The following is a 20929-nucleotide window of genomic DNA, read 5'->3' as shown; positions in this document are numbered from 1 at the left end:
TAACCAACCTTGAAATAATACTGTAAATGAAATCTGAAGTACATAATGGCCCATTAGGATAAATAACCACATGCTCCAACCCCAACCATTACAGTTGTCCAAATAGATCAAACAAAACCTAGCTATACATCTGTGTGTTGGTTATATGTGAGGACATGGATAGGAAAGGACAGAACAACCTGCCTTTGGAACAGTAACAATGCTGCTTAATTAAAATGGGCCAAAAACATTTCTTGGTGGGGACAGAGTGGTGAGTGTGTATGCAGGGGGTGGGGTGGACTTTTAAGGGTATAGGATTTGATGCTGAGGTCTTATTTGGGGTGACACATGCACAGCACTAGAAAAGCCATGCTACCCCCACCCCCCATTCACTACTCCAAACTGTCCATGATAATCTGGAACAACATACGAGTCATCAAAAGTGAGCTTGGGTCTCCGGACATTAGTGCTGCTGCTGGATAGAAGGGGCAGAGCCGCCCAGGACGTCATCTCCAGGTGACTGCTATCCATGAGGCCAGTAGTGATGGTAGAGGTGATGGTGGAAATGGTAGTGGTAGTAGTTGTGGTGGTGGCCGTGGCGGTGGCAGTAGCTGTGACAGTGGTGGTGACAATGGCAGTAGCAGTGACAGTAGCAGTGGCAATAGCAGTATTGGTGACAGTGATGGTGGCAGAGGATGCCTTTTTTGGAGTGTCTCCCTCCTGGGAAAAAGGAGGACAAATAGTTTCCATTAGGTCCAGCTTTTTAAAACACCTTGTCATAAATGCTTTGAATGTCAAGCACGTTACGAAAGAAGGCAAAAAAAAAAAAAAAGAAAGAAAACAATGCACACAGCTTGAGGATAAATAGGTGACCCTGGATATTTTATGAACGCCATGAATCACCAGCTTTTGTTCTATTATGACACCAAACATCAAGCTAATTGGGTGCTGCCATTACATAGCTCCACCATCCCATTAAGACAGCCACAGCAAAGGTCTAAATCTAGTGATAAATGTGAGGGGAAAGGGAAGGAAGAATATAGAGAGGAGAGAGGAGGAGGGAGGGAGAAAGGAAGAGATGCATGGACAAAGAGAGGGAGAGATAGAGATATTAAATAAATCCCTTGACCCCGCTGTGGGTATTTTTGATAAGGGAACCAACCCAGAAGCTTTCTCTAGGGTAAGTAACGTCCTCAGGTCACTCTGCAAAATACCAGATACAGTCCAGCAAAATACTAGGAAATTGTACTCTAATCATCCCTGCCCTGGCTGAAGTGAGGTTGAAGCCGCCCTTTTGTTCATGTGAGGCGCTTGATTGGTTTCTAGCTAAGTGAAATGTGAGTGTGTCTCCATTTTGTTTTGCAATCTTAGGATGGTGAAGCCTCATTTCTACCAGGTCCAAAATCAAATGGGTAAGATACTTACAAGGGCTTTGCTTTGAACTGTCATTGCTATAGAGAGGATGGAGAAAGGAGGTGGTAAGATCTGTAATTATGTGACAGTGTGGCATCACAAGACTACCTGCCATGTTCAAGTGGCTGACTCTGCCCTCCCGCCCCCAGCAACTGTGGGACTCTCCTGACTGTTCTCTGTCTGACCATACTTCCCATGGTGCCTCCTCTTCCTTCTGCTCTTCTGAATTGGTATCTCTCTAACATTGGTGTTCCCCAAAGTTCACTCCGCAGTTCTCTTCTTTCTTGATATGATCTGTCAATCTTGTGTGTTGTTGGCACAGATTCAACAGTAGGTAGGTAACACCCAAATGGAAACCTCAATCTTACCCAATCTCCAAAGCTCCAGCCTACAGTGACCATCTTAGGACAATTCTACCAACATGGCCATTAGCGCCTCAAATTTTTGGCAAACCAAATCACTAATCAAACCAGTTTCGTCTTTCTGTTAATGGCAGGATGGTCTTCCCTGTCATCAAAGCTGAATTTCTCCGTGTCAATAAAGAGTTTCCAAACTGACTTTGGCACAGTTACACAGGGAACTGCAGTAGTATCTGGGCTAGTGGCACTGAAACTGGCAAGGTAGAGACTCCCCACCTTTCCTTCCATCTGAGCTGCTCTGCTTTAATCAGCTTTATATATTGAAGTTCTGTAAATTACTTCATTTTGAAAAATGATAATGCTCCTAGAACTCTTCTTGAAAACAATTCCTCTATTTCATCTTTAATTTTTCTCCCTCAACATTACCAGTTAATTGCAGTTAATTACTCCTATTAATTGTATCTCCCCAACATCTCTCGAATTTGTCCCTTTCTCCCTCAAAGCCTCAAAATGCAGGCCCTCATGGCTTCTCACTGAGACTAACAAAGAGTCTCCTGGCTGGACTCCCAGCCCTTGAGCTAGCTTCTCCCTCCACCCTCAATCTGCTGTCTGCTAGCTTGAGCTTCCTGAACAAAGTTCCTAGCATCTCCCTGCTCTGCACTCAAATGCAAACTCAAGGCTGAAGCTCCTTTGCTGGCACTCAAGGCCCTACCTGATTTGGCTGCAGCTTTCTGCCCAATCTCTGACTGTTCCCTTCCATGAACCTTAGTTTCAACTGAACTGAACATGTCCCCGCTTTTTTCACTTTCCTGATTTGATGATACATGTGAAGTTTTAGATTTCAAAAAGCCTTCCATTCATTTGTTTCTTTTTTTACCACCTGGTGATAATTTATTCAACTTATTATTTTTATTGCATTTTGAAATTTTCATAATTGTGGTAAAACACACATATAATAAAATGTACCATCTTAACCATTCTTAAGTGTACAGTTCAGTCATGTTAAGTACATTCACATTGTTGTGAATCCCCAGAACTCTTTTCATCTTGCAAAACGGAAACTCTGTACCCATTAAACAGTGTCTCCCCATTTACCCTTTGCCTTAGGCGCTTGCAACCCCCATTCTACTGTCTGTCTCTATGAATTTAACTACTCCAGGGACCTCATGTCAACGGAATCACATGGTTTTGGCCTTTGGTGTCTGGCTTATTTCACTTAGCATAATGTCTTAAAGGTTCATCCATGTTGCATAATATGACAGGATTTCCTTCCTTTTCCATTGTGTGGATAGACCACATTTTCTTCATCCACTTCCCTTCATTTTTAAACCCTACTCATCTATTAAGGATCAACTCAGGAAACGCCTCCTCCACCAGGAAAACTACCTTATGCCTACAGCCAGAAGTACTTTAATCCTCCTTGGACCATTCAGAGACCTGTCTCTATCCCTGCCCTAAGACACCAATCACCAGCTATTTTATATTCTAGTCCTTTGAGCATATGTCTCATTGCTCACTTTAGACTGAGAGTTCTTTGAGCACTGGAGCCATCTCTGATTTACGATACTGTCCCTCCACCCCACAGCCCAGTGCCCTCAGTGTTTGCTGAGTGCATGCATGCACATATGCACAGACACTTGCCATAGTCAACAGGGTCACTTTAAAGATAAAAGCCAAATGTGAAATGTATTTCTTATATTTCTGTGGATCTTTTACACTTCATCCTGGACCTTCTGAATACAAAATAATTATTACCACCTAGATCTCACTGATATAAATGTGCTGAGAACCTACGCATCATCTACAAATTGTTATGATGGATACGAAGAAAATAAAGATTTTTTTTCAACCCAAACATTTTAAAGGAAACAGAGCCGTAAAAAACTTGTAAGCCAGCTTCGTGTCTCCACTGCCACAGCCCGATTGGCCTAGACCAAACAGTTAGGCCAGCCCAAGACAGTGTCATTTGTCTCTATGGCCAAGATATGTGGCAAGAACCCTGAAACATTACATCCACCACCCACGGCATTTATGTCAGTCCTGGCACATCTGACTGGAAATGGCTGAATTCAGCCATGATCATGTAAGTTACATAAAAATGTCATCTCTCCACACTCACTCACCTGTTGAGTCAATAAACAGGACTTCATGCCTAAATGGAATAGAGAAGACTCTGCGAGCACAAAATTGCAAACGTTTTTGGAGCTAGAAGAAGCTTTATAGATCATCTAGTCAAATCCCCTCATTTTATTATCTCAGAGATGTTTCATGATTGGCCCAGAGTTATCGAGCAAATTTGTTGCAGTGCTAGCACTATACAAGAGTTAAGTGTCTTAATCACAGGCTAAGGCAAAAATTATGCCACAAAGTCTCCTAGATTTCAAATCATTAATAGAAAGAATGGCCCAAGAAGAGGCACTGGTTGCTCACTGCTATCAGAGAAGCCTAGTGATTTCCCTAAGAAGGATGATATATTTCTAGGAGCAAATATTAATATATTTATCATGTTTCCCCAGTAGATTTTAGCCCTTGTGGAAATGACTTTGCAGATTCTTTTAAGCATTATCATTGTCATAATAACATCTGTATCATTTATAATCCCTAATGATTTGTGACAATATACTAGGCACTATACAAAAAGAAATAATGGAAAGTTTGTGTATTTGTATACACAGGCCTCTCATATTTCTTCTCTGCATCTTCCTCCCTTCCTCCTGCAACATCCCCAAATGATCAAGTTAGATGAGCTGGTTAACTTGTTTCTACCTGACAATAATAATATTTCTTCCAAGATGCTTACATTTACCGATATCCCTTTGAAAGTAGCACAGAATTTGCCTTCAGTTCTCTTAGGTTTGGTAGATGTGATTTGTCCAGTCATGGCGATGTTTTTGTCTTGACCAAAGGGACCATTATTGCCACTGACATTTCTGCGGCGTGGAGGGTCCTCTGGCAGTGGGGAAAGTGGAGGAGGAAATAGTTTTTCTTCCTTTCTTCTATTTGCTCTCCTGGATGAATTATTTCTGTGAAAAACAAGAAGTGTAGGGTGTCATAAAGTCTTCTCTCTCTTTATTCTGATTTTCCCCATGATGCTAGTACTGTAAGCTGAAGTCATATTTTAATTGCTGTCCCTCTACCTATGGTGAAGAGCATATCTAAAAATGCATATAGACATAGATATAGATATCTTTATAGATATAGATATCTCTCTATATAAATATAGATATATGCATACATATGTATCCAAGAATAAACTCATGTCTTTGCAGCAGAACTCCATGACAAATGTAAATGCCTAATGGAGTGTGCTACAGTAGGATATTTTCAACTTTTCAAGATTGCTGTTAATTAGATTTTTATGGAAAATACAATGAGGACTTTAATCCCATCATTTTTCAGGATGGTTCCTACTTATTTTGCCCTAGGACTTAACTGCACAATCATGCAATAAATGGCACAATAAAGAATCAGTGGAAGAATACTTTCTTAAGAAATATTATGCTTACGCATTACTTAGAAATAAATAATGCACTAAATAGTATTGCGACATACATTGCAAATTGTATATACAGAATGTTCTACTCCAACGCCAAGCATAATGAGCCTCTGACCTTAAATTGTTATACTGAAGTACTGATGTACTCCACTTTACAAAACTCCATTTAAAAATGTTATTTTGTCATATTCACACTAGACATCTGCAATTTTAAAAGTACTCCCGTGCTTTCAAACTGATTTATCTGCCCATTAAATGGGCACCACCAAATAGTCTGAGACTTCAAATGAAACAGAACAACTGAAACCTTATGCTAGCTGCTTAACATGGTAATTGGGTCATGGATTTTCATTTTAGTTACTGTCTTAGACTAATCAAGGAAGATTACTTGAATTTTAATCTTTGCTTAGACAACTAATATTGCACTGTGCAGCTATTTACTTTTCATGATTATTGACTACAATTTTCAATGGCAAATTAAGTCAACAAGAATTTATGTTTTCCTCTTGGTCAATTTCAGTCAGTGTCTAGAAATATAGATTTACAATATCTCAAAGCAACAAATCAAAGATGAACAAGCATTCAAGTGGTCTGATTCCCTGAAATAGAAGTCAATGCAGACTCCTTGGCCCACTTCCACTGTGTTGCACAAAATTGCCAATTGTAATATGTGTCATCTTCTCCATCTTTTGTTTCATAAATGTGGCCCTATGTTACTTTTTGTTGTGTAGCGAAACTGAAAAAACGCAACTGTTTCTGTCATTACCTCAATTGATTAAAATTAATTAAAAATACTTTCCAATGGATTTGAAAAATTGCTTTGACATGTATAACCATTTTAAAATAGTAGTGATGCCTGATTAAAATGATGGTGAACATATGGATTAAGATTCTTGTCCATGAGGAAGCTCCACAACAAGCAGATCACATTAAGTGTAATAATTACAAAGGCACCAGGCCTTTGGGAATTTATACGTGTGGATGTCAAGCATTGCTGTGGCATCTACAGGAGGTGAATGGTGGTTCATTAGCTGTAAATACTCCCCCACTACTTGAGCTGCCTGAGGAGAAACTGGGGGCTTCAAGGGAAAGAGCTGCTTCTGAGAGGCAGTTAATTTGCCATTGGCAACTACAGTCATGCAATGCCTGCCTGTCTGCCACTAAAGCAACCAGCGGGGATTCAGTGCATTCTGTACAGTGAGCACCCGTGACCTGGCCCCCTTTACATCTGCCTGGTCATGATCTGGAACCACGGGGTCTTTAAGGACTTTCTTGGTGAAAGACACCTAGGGAGCATTTTCTAGAGACCACTCAGTCATTGTTATGACTTACAACTAGAAAAGCAGCTTTTGCGTCTTTGGGTACCTCTTCCAATAGGCCAGAGTAGAACAGGAGACAAAAGAAGAGCATCACCACCTGCACTCAATTCCTCAGAGGGCCTGCTGAAGGTACCAGCTCTAAAGAAGAAGGGGAGGTCCAGGAGAGTCCTTCTGTTGAACTATGGGGAACTATAGCTGTCATAGTCTGGTGTGGAATCTTTGTTAGGTTTAGAATAGTCATTTAGAAAAGTGAATGTTGTCTCCCATTTTGTTTGAAAGGTTAATAAGGCACAAAGGTGCAAAGCTTGAGGAGGGGATTCCCAGGAGGAGACCCCTAAGAGGTCAGTCATTGCTTCATTCTTCTTCAACTCCAGAAAGTTTTCCAGAGAAAACTCATCTGTTTGATGGGCGTAAGAAACTAATTGAGGCTCTTTCTGAACGATAAAGGCTACAAGGGAAACACTGCTTTCCCACCTACTAGAAAAGCAGAGACATTGTAAAGATAGTGGATTAAAGACACCATTTGGTGTAAGGAACATGGCTGTGCTGCAGCCAAGCAGGCATAGGGCAGCAGGCATAGGCTGAGGTAAACAGCCTAGATGACTCAGTGGATTGGGGCACAAGTGCACAGTCCCATGTCTTATATAATCATAGCCATGAAGACGTAACACAGAGAAGCTCACCACCTGGCTCTCAGCCACTATTGTTTGTGTAATGTATAAATGTAACACTCACCCAGTGAAGGAGCTGCTAAATAAAGCTATGTGTCATTTACCTGCTGTCTCTTGAGTGTTCTCCAAGCTCCCTGCTCCACATCCACACACTCCCCTCAGACCTCAGCTGGGGGTGGACCCCAACCCTGAGTGTGACATTTGGTAAGAACCAACTCAAATGACTAGGCCTTTATGTAATACTTGGTCATCTCTCTTTTATAAGATGGGGAAGGCGACAGGCCACTGGGTCACCTAGAGAGTGTAGCAGTGGGGACCAAAGGCTGTGGCAAGGCTGGATGGCCCAAACTGGTCCAAGCCTGGAAACTGAGGGAACAATGCCACCACAGCTATGCCATTTTAGTCCTTCCTCCTTGCAAACAACGAAGGAGGGCTCTGGAATGACCACGTCTTACCATCAGGGGAGCATGCTTCCTCACATGCCTGGTCTACCCTGAGGTGAAGGGGTCAGCTTGCTCCACTGGAAGGGTCTCTAGTTCTGAGAACTTCAAGTATGTATGTGAAGGGATGTTTCAGAGCAAACTTATATCAGAGAATACTGATGAACCTCACCAATAACTACTGATCCTGGGGGCAGGGGGCAGCCCAGGACCCAAATCTCCTTATTAGTTAAACCAGATCTAGTGGTAATTGATCTTTTCTTTCCTTTCATCTCAAAACAACAAAGATCCAGACAAATGTAAGCTGATAACTTATTTCCGACATCTTATCTGTAGCAGATTGATGCCATATCCCTGATGTTAAACTGTAATCTGTGAAATCAATTGTTAGCTGCAGTTAGCCAGATTGCCTCTCTGCTCTGGGCTGCTAATAGGCTCCAAAACTGGCTTTGATGGAAGTAATCTCTAATGTTGAATGAATTTATGGCAATAATTACTCAGACAGAATGGTTCAAGTTGCTGACATGATTGTTAGTTAAGTGATATTTATAAGACAGAAATAACTTGGTCACAATGCTTGGCAGAAACAGAAGGCAGGACTTCTCTGAAGAAGACTCAAGCTGTTTGAGTGAGGAGGTGCCAGGAGGCCTCCTGCTGGACTCTGGAACCTTCCACACACAGAGAGAAGGAAGAACAGGTGCCAGCTCCTTGGAATGACATGTTTGAGGAGGCCAGAGAGATGAGCTGTCTGGGAGTGGCCCTCCTCCTGGGACAGTTCTGTGTCAGGAAAAGACAGCTTTTTTTTTTTTTTTTTTTCATTCCCTTGGCTTCTGTGGAGTTCCGGACATAGCTACTGGTCCTCAAGATTCATATGAATGTTAAGTAATGACATCAAAGAGGAAGCAGCTGCCTCGTTCTGTCAAGATCAAGGAGTTGCTTTTCCAGGGAAACTGAGTAATCACCATCAGAACTGAATGTTGGGTAGAAGCAGGTGATCTGGTTAAAGTGATAGGGGTTCTCTTGATGCTTCTTGTTAATTTATTTACTTCCTTTTACCCTTCACTGAGTGCTAAAAGTTCGTTTTGACTAATTTTAGTGATAAATCTGAATTAGAGTAAAGAAATGTTGCTAAAAGCTCATGGAGTCACCCCAATTCTGGCAGCATATGTTCTACCCCTTATCACACCCTTGTTAGACCAGTGGCCAGGGACAGCTGTCAGGCCTTGACTGAGAGACTCCTGTTTTTTACCTTAAAGTCTTCTGGGGCAAGATCCCCCAAACAGGTTCAATTAGGATTTCTTAGGAGTCTGAACAATCATACCAAGCCATCAGACAGGGCCAGGGCAAACTCACTCTCTAGTGTTGGGAGGCTTGTGGGGTGGGGCTGGTGAGATGCAAGGAGGGAGCAAGCAGATAGTTGTGGCCTCCTCCAGGCGCTGCTTCTTCTCAGGGATCTTCTCTGCAACTTCTATTGGCTTTAACAGGGAAAAAAATACACAGAGCTTGAAATGCATGGCACCATTCAGACATCCATATTTTATACACTAAAAATGAGCAAGATACATAGTTTGCTTTTATTTTAACTTCTAGATTAGGTAGGTGAGTTAAATGTGCACCTTTGATCAGACAGAAAAGCAATCAACCTTGCCTAGCCGAGTCCTACAAAGAAGTTGGCATTTGAGAGAGTACAACTGTGTGATCTGAACCTCTGTGTAAAGACTGGGTGGCATGGGAATCTCACAACAAAAGTAAAGAGAATCTATTAATACAATTTTTGGACACTTCTCCCATCAACAATGCCCCCACAAATGAGTAGTTTAGAAACTAACATTGTAACTTGAATGTGACATAAATCCTGTCCAAGCAGCATGGGGATCATGGCTGACATATAAAGGTTGCTTACACAATGAGCATCACGTAAGGAAATGAACCACGTTCAAAGCACACCTTTGGACTTTTGCATGTGCTGTTTTGAAGGTACACTGTCAGCTGTGGTTGTACTGTTGTCATCACTAAATGTGGAGAATCAGTGGTAGGGCAAAGGTCTTTGACTTCTTGGTCCCTATTTTGGAATATAGGCTGAGTAGCCATTATCCAGAATAGTTGGGACCAGAAATGTTTCAGACTTTGAATATTTTTGAATTTTGGAATATTTGCATTAAACTTACCAGTTGAGCATCTCGAATTCAAAAATCCAAAATCTGAAAATGCTCCAGTGAACACTTATTTCTCCTGAGTGTCATGTCAGTGCTCAAAAAGTTTCAGATTTGGAGCATTTTGGATTTTGGATTTTTAGATTTGGGATGCTCAAACTGTACTCTCATTAGGTATGCAACTCCGAGAGAATATCCTCTGTTTTGGAACTTGTAAAGTCAAGCTGAATGATGACTGCCATCATTTTTGCATCATCCTAGTCAGTCGGATGGCCTGGCCACAGTGGGGGCTGCGGTTCAATGAGGAATCTTAAGTCTTTCCTGGAAAGGGACAGAATAAATGAAGAAAGGACTTGGAACCTCCTTTCTAGCCACTGTGGCAGCCTTAGAAATAAGATTACCTGAATATCATCATGAGATAACATCACTCTAAAAAAAGTACCCTGAGATGTGGAGATACGACAGAATGAGCATACTGGATACCAAACCATTTCTCTAGACATAGTTCAAATGAAAAGGGCCACTCTGGATTTCACCTTATGAGTATACTTTATAGCCTTGGAATTCAGCTCTAGCCTTCTGCAGGTAAAATTTTCCCAAGTCAAGCCTACCACATAGATCAGTGATCCCAGCAGGCTGGGAAGAACATGTGGTTGGTAGGACCCAGGAGACTTAGAGTATAACTGGACTGTGGAGATGCTAATGTTTGTCCAGAGAAATTAAAAAGCCCTAGAAGATGCATTTGGACATTGAGGGCACTTGCGTGCCTTGCCTAAGTAAGGAGACTTTCTTCATATTTTTCTTTCCTACACATCATAAGCCCTCATATGCCATAATGGACACTCTTGCCACTGGCTACAGATCATTTCTAGTTTTTCCTCTCTGGTCATGTCAAATACTGCATTTCCCACAGAAAGCATCATCACCTTTGCCAAAATCTGCAATGCACTGCCATTGGCTTCCTTGAAGATGAGGCTCAAGATCAAGTTAGACAACAAACAGACACTGCTCACAAGCACTTGGCAGGCCACTTTAGACAGCTTACCTTGTGCTTACGTTTGCCCTTAGGGGCTGGTTTCTCCACAGCTGTGACAGCTGTCTGACGCTTGGGTTTTGTGGCAGTCTCCTTGTGGTCTGGCTTGGCAGGTGCTGCATGGAGTGAGCTGTGGCCAGGTACTCTAGAGAGTAAGTCAAGGTCAATCTTCACCCAGAGGTTTTTCAGGTTCTCATGATCTCGCAGAGGGGACAGGATTTCAGTTTGCATGACAGGAATAGGTGAAAATGTTGGCTCTTCATTACTGATGGATAAGTTGTTGTTGCTGCCACTGCTACTCATTAAGGTGCTGAGGGTCAGGCTGGCACCACAGATTTCCTTGGATTTGGCAGTATTACCTCCAGAAATAATGCACGGAGGCAGGACTTTGATTTGCAGGGTCTCTTCCTGATCTGTGTTGGAGTCAGATGTAGATGAATCTGTTTCAATGAATTCCCGAGACTTTGGCACAATCTTGCCAGGCCCTCTGTACTTCTTCTTCTCGGGAGCCAAAGGGATGTTAGGTCTTGGTTCTTTCCTAGGGGCTGGTTTGTGGGCAGTGGCTTTGTTGCGGCCTCTTGGTGGGTCATGAAGCTCCACACTTTCTTTTTCTTTGGGAGTGCTGCTGGTAATATTTGGTTTGGGCCAGGTAAACTCGTCAGTGCTGGTGTTCTTCTCAACTTTTTTGGGCTGTTTTTTCCCAATTGTCCTTTGAGACACTGTCTCACTAGTTGTTGACAACTTATGCTTCAAAGCCTTTGTTTCTGGAATTTTCTGAGTGGGCCGTGGACGGGCTTTCTCCCTAATGAGACTGAGGAGAGGCCTTTCTTTGGGTTCAGCTGGGACCTGACTGGCATTCGTCTTCACTTTCATCTGGACTTCCATTGGTTGGATGATTGGAGGAGGCAGAGAAATAGTCTCCATGGGTGTTTCATTTTGGCCACAAATAAAAGACTTGTTCTGGGATGTCACTTTGTTAAGCCATTTATCCAGTTGCCACTTGTTGGTTGAGGGTGGCTCAGGCTGCAGATTGAGAAACAGCAGCAAGAATGATTTTTACACTTGGGAAGGATTCAAGAGAACCCTGAGTACAGAGACTACTACTAAAAGCTTTGGATGTCAAGTGACTGTTCACACATATACAAATACACACACTCATACACACACACCTGCACATACCCACTATCCATAATATTCAAATGACCTAAATAGTCAGATACAAACCAGCTGCAGTCTACTTATTTAAGCTCATTTCGACTCCTTCTCTGAAAATATTCTCTAGTTTGGCCAGGAAGAAAAGAATTATTCACAGAGAGATGTTCCAGTGGGTTGGCAGGGATGCCAATGAGGGAAACCTGTTTCCAAAATCCTTTGTGGGAATCATCACTCAACCTCTCACCAGGAGGCAAAGGTAATAGTCTCTGATCCTGAAAGGAACGTAAGCACACCTCAAGTATAATTCAAAAGGAAAGGCTTTCCAGCTGCCAGAGTGCCAGTGCCTTCTATGTGATGCTGTCATTCCCTGCAAACAAATCAGGCCTTTTGTATTTTTACTGAAGGACAAAAAGATTTTACTTCCAAAAAATAGAAACCACTGAGCTTTCGTCGGTGTATGGGCAATAACCAATTTATAGGAACATGCATGCAGACATTAGCATCCACTAAACCATGGCAATGATACATACTATTCGGGTCCTTGATTCCTAACTCTGAGTTCTGCCATCAGTTTTATTAGAAGAGCTCTTCCTTTGAAAGCCATCAGCTGAGGCTTATGGTACCAGCCAATAGAGGGTGACAGAATTAAAAACACTTGAGTAGTTGTGATAGCAACCTGCACAAGACAATGGCAGGCAAGGGTTGAGGAAGTTGTATCAGCAGCCACTGTGGGCAGTGGAGCTTTCAGGTTGAGAACATCAGCTCTGGATACACATGGACCAGGGTTTTCAGTCCTGGCTCTACTACTGTCTATCTGTGAGGTCTTGGGAAAGTTCTTTTTAACCTCCTAGAACCTTATTCTCTCATTTGTAAAACAAAAATAATAATAAGTACTCTGTAAGGTTGTCATGAGGATAATATGAGAAAATGCAAGTCAAGAGCTCAGCACAGTGCCTGGCACATGCATGGTCCATGTTCAACAGGTATTTCTATTATTAATAGCAGTAATATTATTATTGTCTCCTATTTTTCTTTTCTGATTATTGAAAAACAAGTGTATGAAGAGCCGGGGGTTGAGGGTGGAATTTACTTGCTATACCAAATGCAGGCTCAGGGAAATTGAGCGGCTATCCTGGACTCAGAGAGGATGTGAAGCAAATTCTTTTATTTCAAAATTATTATTTTAGTATTTCATGGAGCTGTGTTAAATGTTTTGGTGAATTATTATCAAACACACTTGAAGGATGCATATTAAAATAAAGAACATATAACATTTAAATAATCATTTTACCGTTAAGGAAAGCCATACTTCTTGGGTCTTACTTGCCAAGTGGCAATTCACACTTTAATCACTTTAATCTAGAGTAAGGGTTAGTGTCCCCAAGGCCAGAATTGGATCTTGACTGGCTTCATTGATTCTCTCAGAAGACAAGCTGCTAGTCTATTCATTACTATGCTAGTTTTACTATGCTAAGAGAAGCTAAGTGAGTCACACAGCAAATCAGTCACACAGCAAAAAATGTATGCATGTTAGGAGTATGTGAATATATGCTTTTTAAAAGTGCTGTTAAAAATCTGGGTACTTTTCTGAAGTGGTTATCATGCTAAATTAATTATTAATTATTGTGCTGAAAGTGTGTGTGTGTGTGTGTGTGTCTGTGTGTGTGTGTGTTGAGGGTGCTGCCTGTGGGACAGGCAGATCATGGTTAGGGCCCTGGCACCTTCACTCACCTCTGGAGTTGCCACACGAGGTGCCTCATTAGATTCGCTGTCAGTGGTGCTACTTTCAGTGTCTGAATCCGACTCAGAGCTGCTCTCCGATTCGCTGGAGCTGCCAGAACCCCCGCTGGCTTGCACTGCAGGTGGGGGCTGGGGAGTGGCCAAGGGTGGGCTGAAAGAAAAACAACATAATTCATTGCCTCATTTACTCTCAAATAAGATGGAAAACAGCCCAGTTCAGGTGAAGGGCCTGTGGTCTGTGAAATGCAGGTAGAGTGGGGTTTACCGTTCCCATTTTATAGATAGGAAACGTGAGGCTTAGGAGGCCCAGTGACTGGCCCAAGTTGAAAGCTTTGAAGAGAACCAGGCCTATGTGTATGCAAGTTCCTTGGCTTTCCATCACACTGCCTTGTCTTCCAGAAAAGCCTTGCCACCCTCATTCAACATAAAAACCTTAAGCCAAGTTTGCATGCCTTCTGGATGCAGATATAGATGTAGTGCCTTAGATGTTGAACTGTCCCATTTTTTTCAGTTAAGGTAGTTTTTCATTTTTTGTTGCCCCCTTGTTCAATACCCCACAGGTTCGTCAAGGGGCTCTGATCTTAGCTAAACATATGGTATATAGTTCTATTACCAAGAAGGAGTGAGTTCAATTATCATTTTAATTAGAGGAAACTGAGGTTCAGAAAGGGGGTGGAGCTGGTCTCTGCCTCACAGCTAGTTGGAGAGCCAAGACTAGCACCTAGGACCCTGGCCCCCCAGCTCCTTCAAAGGGCACTAGCTGTGCTGAGCATATTCATTGCTGAGGGCCTGGCGCTCAGCCCCAAAGTGACTAGAGTTGGTCCTCAATTTCTGTCTGTTGGGTGCATGAATAAGGGAATGAGACAACACACTTCTAGGCCTCCTCCACCATACTTTTTATAACCTCTTTGTAACTCTTACAAGGAGTTATGATCATAAGAGAGCAACCAGCTGTAATGATTGATTTTAAATTTGTAAAGCTGACCAAGCAAAGCATTTGGAAAGTGACACCATTTGCTACTCTGCCTTTATTGATAAATAATACTCCTCCATACCGATCGTTTGCTCTCTGCGTCCTATAACAAGTCAGCCTCAGCTGCAACTTGGTACACTGGGGTATGCCATCACCTTTCTTTTTCTCATTGTTGCTTTGGACTGAATTTTGCTTTCTCTCAGAAATGGGTCTCTAAATTTGGGGGAAGGTTCTAATCTCCCTCTGTGTCTTCAGCCTAACCCCTCTTTGGAGATCAGTTTAGCTCATGGGGAGGGGAGTGCTCGGGGCCTGTTTGTCTGTTTGCCATCTACTGGGCCTTCGCAGCCTCTTGCATGCAGCAGCAACCTGACTTGCTCTCTCCCTCGCATTCCACAAATCTGAAGCAGCAGCTCAGTCAAGAGAGCCCAGTATGGTCCTGGAGGTCACCTGGTCCTGTGGCCCCATGTTCAAATGTGAGAAAGAGGATCCGCAAGAATTCCCCAGCCCCCAGCTCAAGGAGCACAGACCTTTATTCATTGCCTGAACCCAAACGAGTTCATGACCCCACCCTATGCCCTCACTAGAGCCTCTTCTCCAACATTACAACTCTCACTCACTGAGCTGGAGCCATACTGAGCTGCTGCTTGGGAAGGAATAGGATCCCTTCAAAGCCAGCACAGGCTCCTCATCAGTCACTACTCAGTGCAGAGGGCCTATCCACTTCCTGTGCCGTGTGTCCTTAAAGACTGGCCCTTTAATCTCCCAGGTAGACATTTTCTTTAACATAGTGAAAGCTCATTTTAAACTGCTATCTGCTTAGTAAATGCGAACTACAAGTACATTTCTCTGTCAAGTACATCAAGAGATTAGGGAAAGTACAAGAAATAAGGAGACTACTGTATCTCCTGGGAACTGTGTGTCTTTCTCCAGCAGTGGGGGGGAAAGGGAGGAGACCTATAACAGGGCTCCTATTTCCCTGCATTCCTTTGTAGATCTCTCTTTAGTGTCAGTAATGATACCCTATTTATGCAAAGTTCTCTTTAAATCTAATCAATTGTTTTTGTCTTCGGTTACTAAATAAAGATTGAGAGAACAGAAATCTAAGTGAGACTAATCCAGAGATTAGGCTAACTTGGCCTCAATTCCTCCCAAGTGAAGTTTTAAATATAACACAGAGCATCTGCAACACTGAGAATACTGGGTGGTGGATTGAGGGATAAAATCTAATTTGTATCCACATTTATGATTCTCAAGAGAAAAGGCTGTTTCCTAGTATCATTTCACATTTATGCACTCATTTCTTTTAATACGAAGCTGGTCATCCTGCTATTACTAAGCTAAAATAGACTCTAGGTTGACTTTGGAATATTTCTGGATAGAGTTCCACTTACTAGATAATTTTTTAGCAACTTCTGTAAGAAACAAAAAAATCCCTGGGATTACTCCTTCAAAACCAAATACATTAAGGTGATACACATGAAGCAGGGATGATTTATTTACCAAAATCAACTTATTCCTCAGCTAAATCAAAGTTCCATGGATTTAGTAGAAAAATTGGGGTGTGTGTGTGTGTGTGCGTGTGTGTGTGTGTGCGTGTATGTGTTTTGTATATATCTTTCCTATCTAAAGCCCTTCTGAGAACAGATGTATTTTAGTATTCGGATGTTTTTAATTTTAAAAAGTACTATGCTGAATATACCATATATAATATTCTCAGTGGGATCTGGATAAGCACCCCTTAATAAAACTTGTTACTATTGTTGCAGTAACATTCACAGTAAGAGGAATACATAAATGTTTTAAATAAATATCTTTACAACAGTTTAGGTCAGGTTTTATCATCAAATGAGTTTGTCTCAAGGTTAGAAAAAATATTGGTTCTCAGAACTTTTTGAATTTCAGAAGTGTAAGAAATTATGGATGTAAATAGAAATCATATATGAAAATTTGACAATACTTATAAGTAGATATAAAGAAAGACATGAAATTAAAACTGTTTTAAACATAAGGGCAACCTTGACTGAGACCCAATGAAATGAGACCTGAAATTATGTATCCTAAGAATTTTTATAGCTAAATCTGTTTCTGTGTTCTCAGGTGGGACTCCAACACAGTCAATTTTGACAATGAACACTTAGAGGAAATTAGTATAGGAAGAACAAGAAGAAGTACATCAGCTTTTTATACTTACACATACAGATATGGGGATAAGAAGGAGGGTGGACTTTAATTCAGGGAGGACACCATGAGAACTCAAACTAGGGGTGAAGGACTTCAGTGTGTTAATGAAAAGGAATTGCTTTCTCCGGGAAGTTGCACAGTTGGAAATGGAGAGCCAGCGTTTGTGGAAGGGAATAATGGTTGCTTAAATGGAGGCAAAATTGCTCTCACCAGCACCTTTCCTGTGCCTCTACTCTCCATCTTCTGCTCATGGGCTTGCTGGAGACTGTAGATGCAGCCAGTCTGCTAAGGAATGTAAGCTTTACATCTGAGTCTGGGCCTCATTTCCTCTGGGCCTACCTTGCGCCCGGTTGGGACTGCTCCCAGGGACAAAAAGTGAGTACAAAACTGAAACATTGTCTTTAAAAGCAGGACAAACATCAATGTCTGAATAGTTGGCTTAAGGCCACATTCTTGTCTGGAATATACCATGGAACTTTCAAGTTGGCAAAGCATCATAATATGTCACTTTCAGTTCTTCACTGAAATCTGTTAGCTGTTCAGCTAGTTAAATTTCCACTTCTGCTACATTTATTTTCATACGTTACTAATTTATTTTCCAGATGTACATGAAAGTGGTTATGAGTAAAGCTAGCCCATGTAATACTTGATTCTGCCTAGGAGATGAAAAACTAATGCACAGTTTATATATTCTTCATTCACTAAGACTGTATTAATGTTATTTTTCACACATCATTTACTTTCATATTTCAATAAACTGCTTTTAAAAAGAATGCTAGTGATTACAACAAACATAATGTCTGATACTAAAAATAATTAACATTTGCTATATTAAGCCATCCACTCTATAGTCTGTAAATATTAAAAGTGTACTCAGTAACTTCACTACAATGTAACAAAACTTCTCAAAGGACCCACATTTGTAATGACTTCAAAGTCAACTGCTCAACCTTCTCAAAGATCAGATTTTGCTATCATATTCATCAGAATTTGCTATCGTATTCATCATTCATCTTTACCAAGTAGAACTAAGCTTTATTTTAATCCCAAACCCATTCATTAGGTCTTCATGGTCATAGGCCAGACTGGGGGCAGAGAAGATGGCTTAGCAAGTCAGTGACCCTAGTGGGGGAATCCAAAGCTGGGGAAGGCGATCAGAGAGTAGGCCAGTGGGAGAGAAGCTGGGGAGGCGTTTAAGGTGCCTTCTCCAGACACGGTTGACCCTGGTGGAAAGCTTGAGAGTGACAGGGGAAAAAAATGGGCTTTAAGAGATAGTCTGGGCACCCTAGACTCTATATGTGATAGTCTTTCTATGCTTACACCACCCAGACTCTTCTGCAATAAAGGGATTAATGTGTAGCACCATAATTAATGAATAGATGCAGATAAGATGGAGAGGCCAAAGGCCACATTGAAGAAACCGACTATTCTGCTTGAAGAAGACTCTGGGTTGGGGATGGGGGGAGAGGCACATATACTGAAAATTTTCAAACAATGTGCAGGTCTGCCCTGGCAGCAGGGAAAGAGTGGGCTTGTTCTGAACTTCCACGGTAAATACAAAACCAATGAGTTGGAGATCTAGTCAGGAAGATTTTACCTCAACATCAGGAAATACTTTTAAAAACTTACAGCTGACCACAGAAAGAATGCACTACCTTGCATGCCAGTGAACCCTGCACTTTAGGTGAGCAGATAGCCAGTGGCTATAAAGAATGTGGGAGAAGAATCCTTATTGTGGGTCTGAAGTGGGGTTGGATGATCTTTAGTATGGAGTCCTGATAAGTAAGCAAAAATGAGGAAGGGGCCCCAGGTGTAGGAGGGCCCAGGTGGGGAAGAACAATGAACAATTGTTCTGAGAGATGGCTAATCCCAAACAGTGACCTCATTCCACAGGCACAATGATCCTGTTTCATGGGCAAAATGACCTCATTCTGCACATAGCCCCCTCCAGCATGACCCTGTAAAATTTCCCTCCAGCCCCTGCCTCTTTGCAGACAGCCCCTTCTCTGCTGTTGCAAACTTGCAACATATTTTCATACTTTAATAAATCTTCCTTTCTTTACCTACAACTGTATTGGTAAATTCCTTTACCACTTGCACCACTGGCCCCACTACCCACAAAATTTAAGGTGTCTTCCAATTCAAAGATTATAATCCTTATGAACCTAAAGTGTATTGGGGATTTTAAGTGAGGCTGTTTATGGACTTTATGAGAAACATGTGAGGAGGCATTTGTGCAATCCAATCTGCTCCTTAAGGCAAGTCTAGGAATGTCCTGTCTCTACAGTACTCTATCAGTCACAGGGTTATTGTATAAACCTCACAGGATTAAAACTGCACTTCTGTAGGCTATTTTATAAGTCAGACTTTTTACTAATTCAGATTAACAGCCTCCAGAAAGCCAAACACCTGCACCAGTGCTGTTTGATTCTAATTCTAATTTAACTGTAAATCCCTTTCTCTGGAGATAAACAGAGATGATGAATTGGCCATTCTGCTCCAACAAGCTGTGTGGGCATCCAGACTATGTATAGGAAATGTACATGGGAGGATTCTATAAGCAAGTCCACATATTGATCTTGGCAACACATTTCACAAGGCCCAGAACTTGCCAAAGACATGGAGCAAGACATGTTTAATGGGAGAGTCCTACATGAAACTCTCCTCTTCAGTTAAGACTTGCATGAATTTCATCAGCTTGACTGTGTTCCAGTTTTACTGGGATAAAATGTCTATTAGGTAATTTAGAATGGTTTCATATTTGATTTCATCATTAAGCTGTAATCAGATGAACTTCAGGCAAAGGAATCAACATCCGCAGCTGATCTTATCTTCCTTCCTCCTTCGTTTTTGTCTCTGAACTCTGGGTTCCAGAACTGGAGCATTATGCCTGCCTCATCACATTAGGCCACCAGAGGCAGACACTCTGAACCCTGAACTTATTCTAGCTAGAGACTGGGAAGATTCCATTTTGTCTGTGTCAGCAGTTTTGAAATCTTCCCCCATCTCCCCTGTCCCCTGAAAATCCACTTAGCCCATTTCTGCAACAAATAGTGTATGCAGAAATAGAAAGCAATAGAAAGTGTACACAGAAGAATAATATATAAAACCGATAAAAACAGAATTGCTGTGGTGGAAAAAAGAAACAAGGGATGTGGAGAGGGGAGGGAGCCTATGTCCCCAGCAGCTTCCCTACCTCCTTGGGATGCCCCCTGAGCACAATTTGAAAATAAAATAATTCATATCCCAATATCATCACAAGCAAGTCACAATCAAATATATTTTCTGCTAATTCTCTGATGCTATTGATGAGCAGACAGTCGATTATGGTCCAGTTGTGATCTGGGCCACACCCTGATATAACTTCATAAAAAGATTGTCTTTGCCTAACATGTATACACTAGGATGTTTGTCCTGTTATCTCATCCTGATGTTTGAAATAGAGCCGCCTCAATTTACTTGCAAAGAGTAATAAGGAGGTCCACACCTATTCATTCCTATTCATTTTCTCAGACAAGTTACTATACATGACATTGCTTAAAGCCCTGAATGACTGAAGTGATCTGTGGTTGATGGAGTAATGACTGACCCAAAGATGTCCATAACCTGATCCATAGAACTTCTGAATATGTTACTTTATATAGCCAAGGAGATTTCACATATGTAAATATTAAGGATCTTGAGATGGGGAGATTATCCTGGATTATCCAAGTGGGCCCAGTGTAATCACGGGGATCCTTACAAGTAAAAGAGGGAGGCAGAAGAGGAGGCCAGAGTGATGCCATGTGAGAAAGACTTGACCTGCTATGCTGGTGTTTGAAGATGGACGAAGGAGGCCAAAAGTCAAGGAATGTGGCAGCCTCTAGAAGCTGGAACTGGCCCTCAGTTAACAGCCAGCAAGACAATGGAGAGTTCTGTCCTATAACCACAAGGAATTGAATTCTGCTAATAACTTACTTGAGTAGGAAACAGTTTGTTCCTTAGAACCTTCAGAAAGGAATGCAGCCATGCTGCCAC

The 20929-nt window shown here is 41.7% G+C and overlaps 1 protein-coding gene across 6 annotated transcripts in view; it reads right to left on the bottom strand.

Annotated features, from left to right (window-relative positions):
* The window catches only part of AFF2 (ALF transcription elongation factor 2), a 500047-nt gene that overhangs the window by 33175 nt on the left and 445943 nt on the right, over positions 1-20929 (bottom strand). For 5 of the 6 annotated variants that reach the window (NM_002025.4, NM_001169124.2, NM_001169123.2 and 2 more), the window contains 5 exons: positions 13750-13909; positions 10876-11886; positions 9031-9152; positions 4552-4774; positions 410-699 (listed from right to left, as the gene is read on the bottom strand). In NM_002025.4, the coding sequence (NP_002016.2) occupies positions 410-699; positions 4552-4774; positions 9031-9152; positions 10876-11886; positions 13750-13909 (1806 nt within the window). The remainder of the gene's footprint in view (positions 1-409; positions 700-4551; positions 4775-9030; positions 9153-10875; positions 11887-13749; positions 13910-20929) is intronic. The other variant, NM_001169122.2, reaches the window with a different exon arrangement.

Source organism: Homo sapiens, chromosome X, assembly GCF_000001405.40.
Source record: "Homo sapiens chromosome X, GRCh38.p14 Primary Assembly".
NCBI classification, from domain to species: Eukaryota; Metazoa; Chordata; class Mammalia; order Primates; family Hominidae; genus Homo; species Homo sapiens.
The sequence above is the reverse complement of the archived record's forward strand: the minus strand, read 5'-3'. Positions and strand labels throughout refer to the sequence as shown.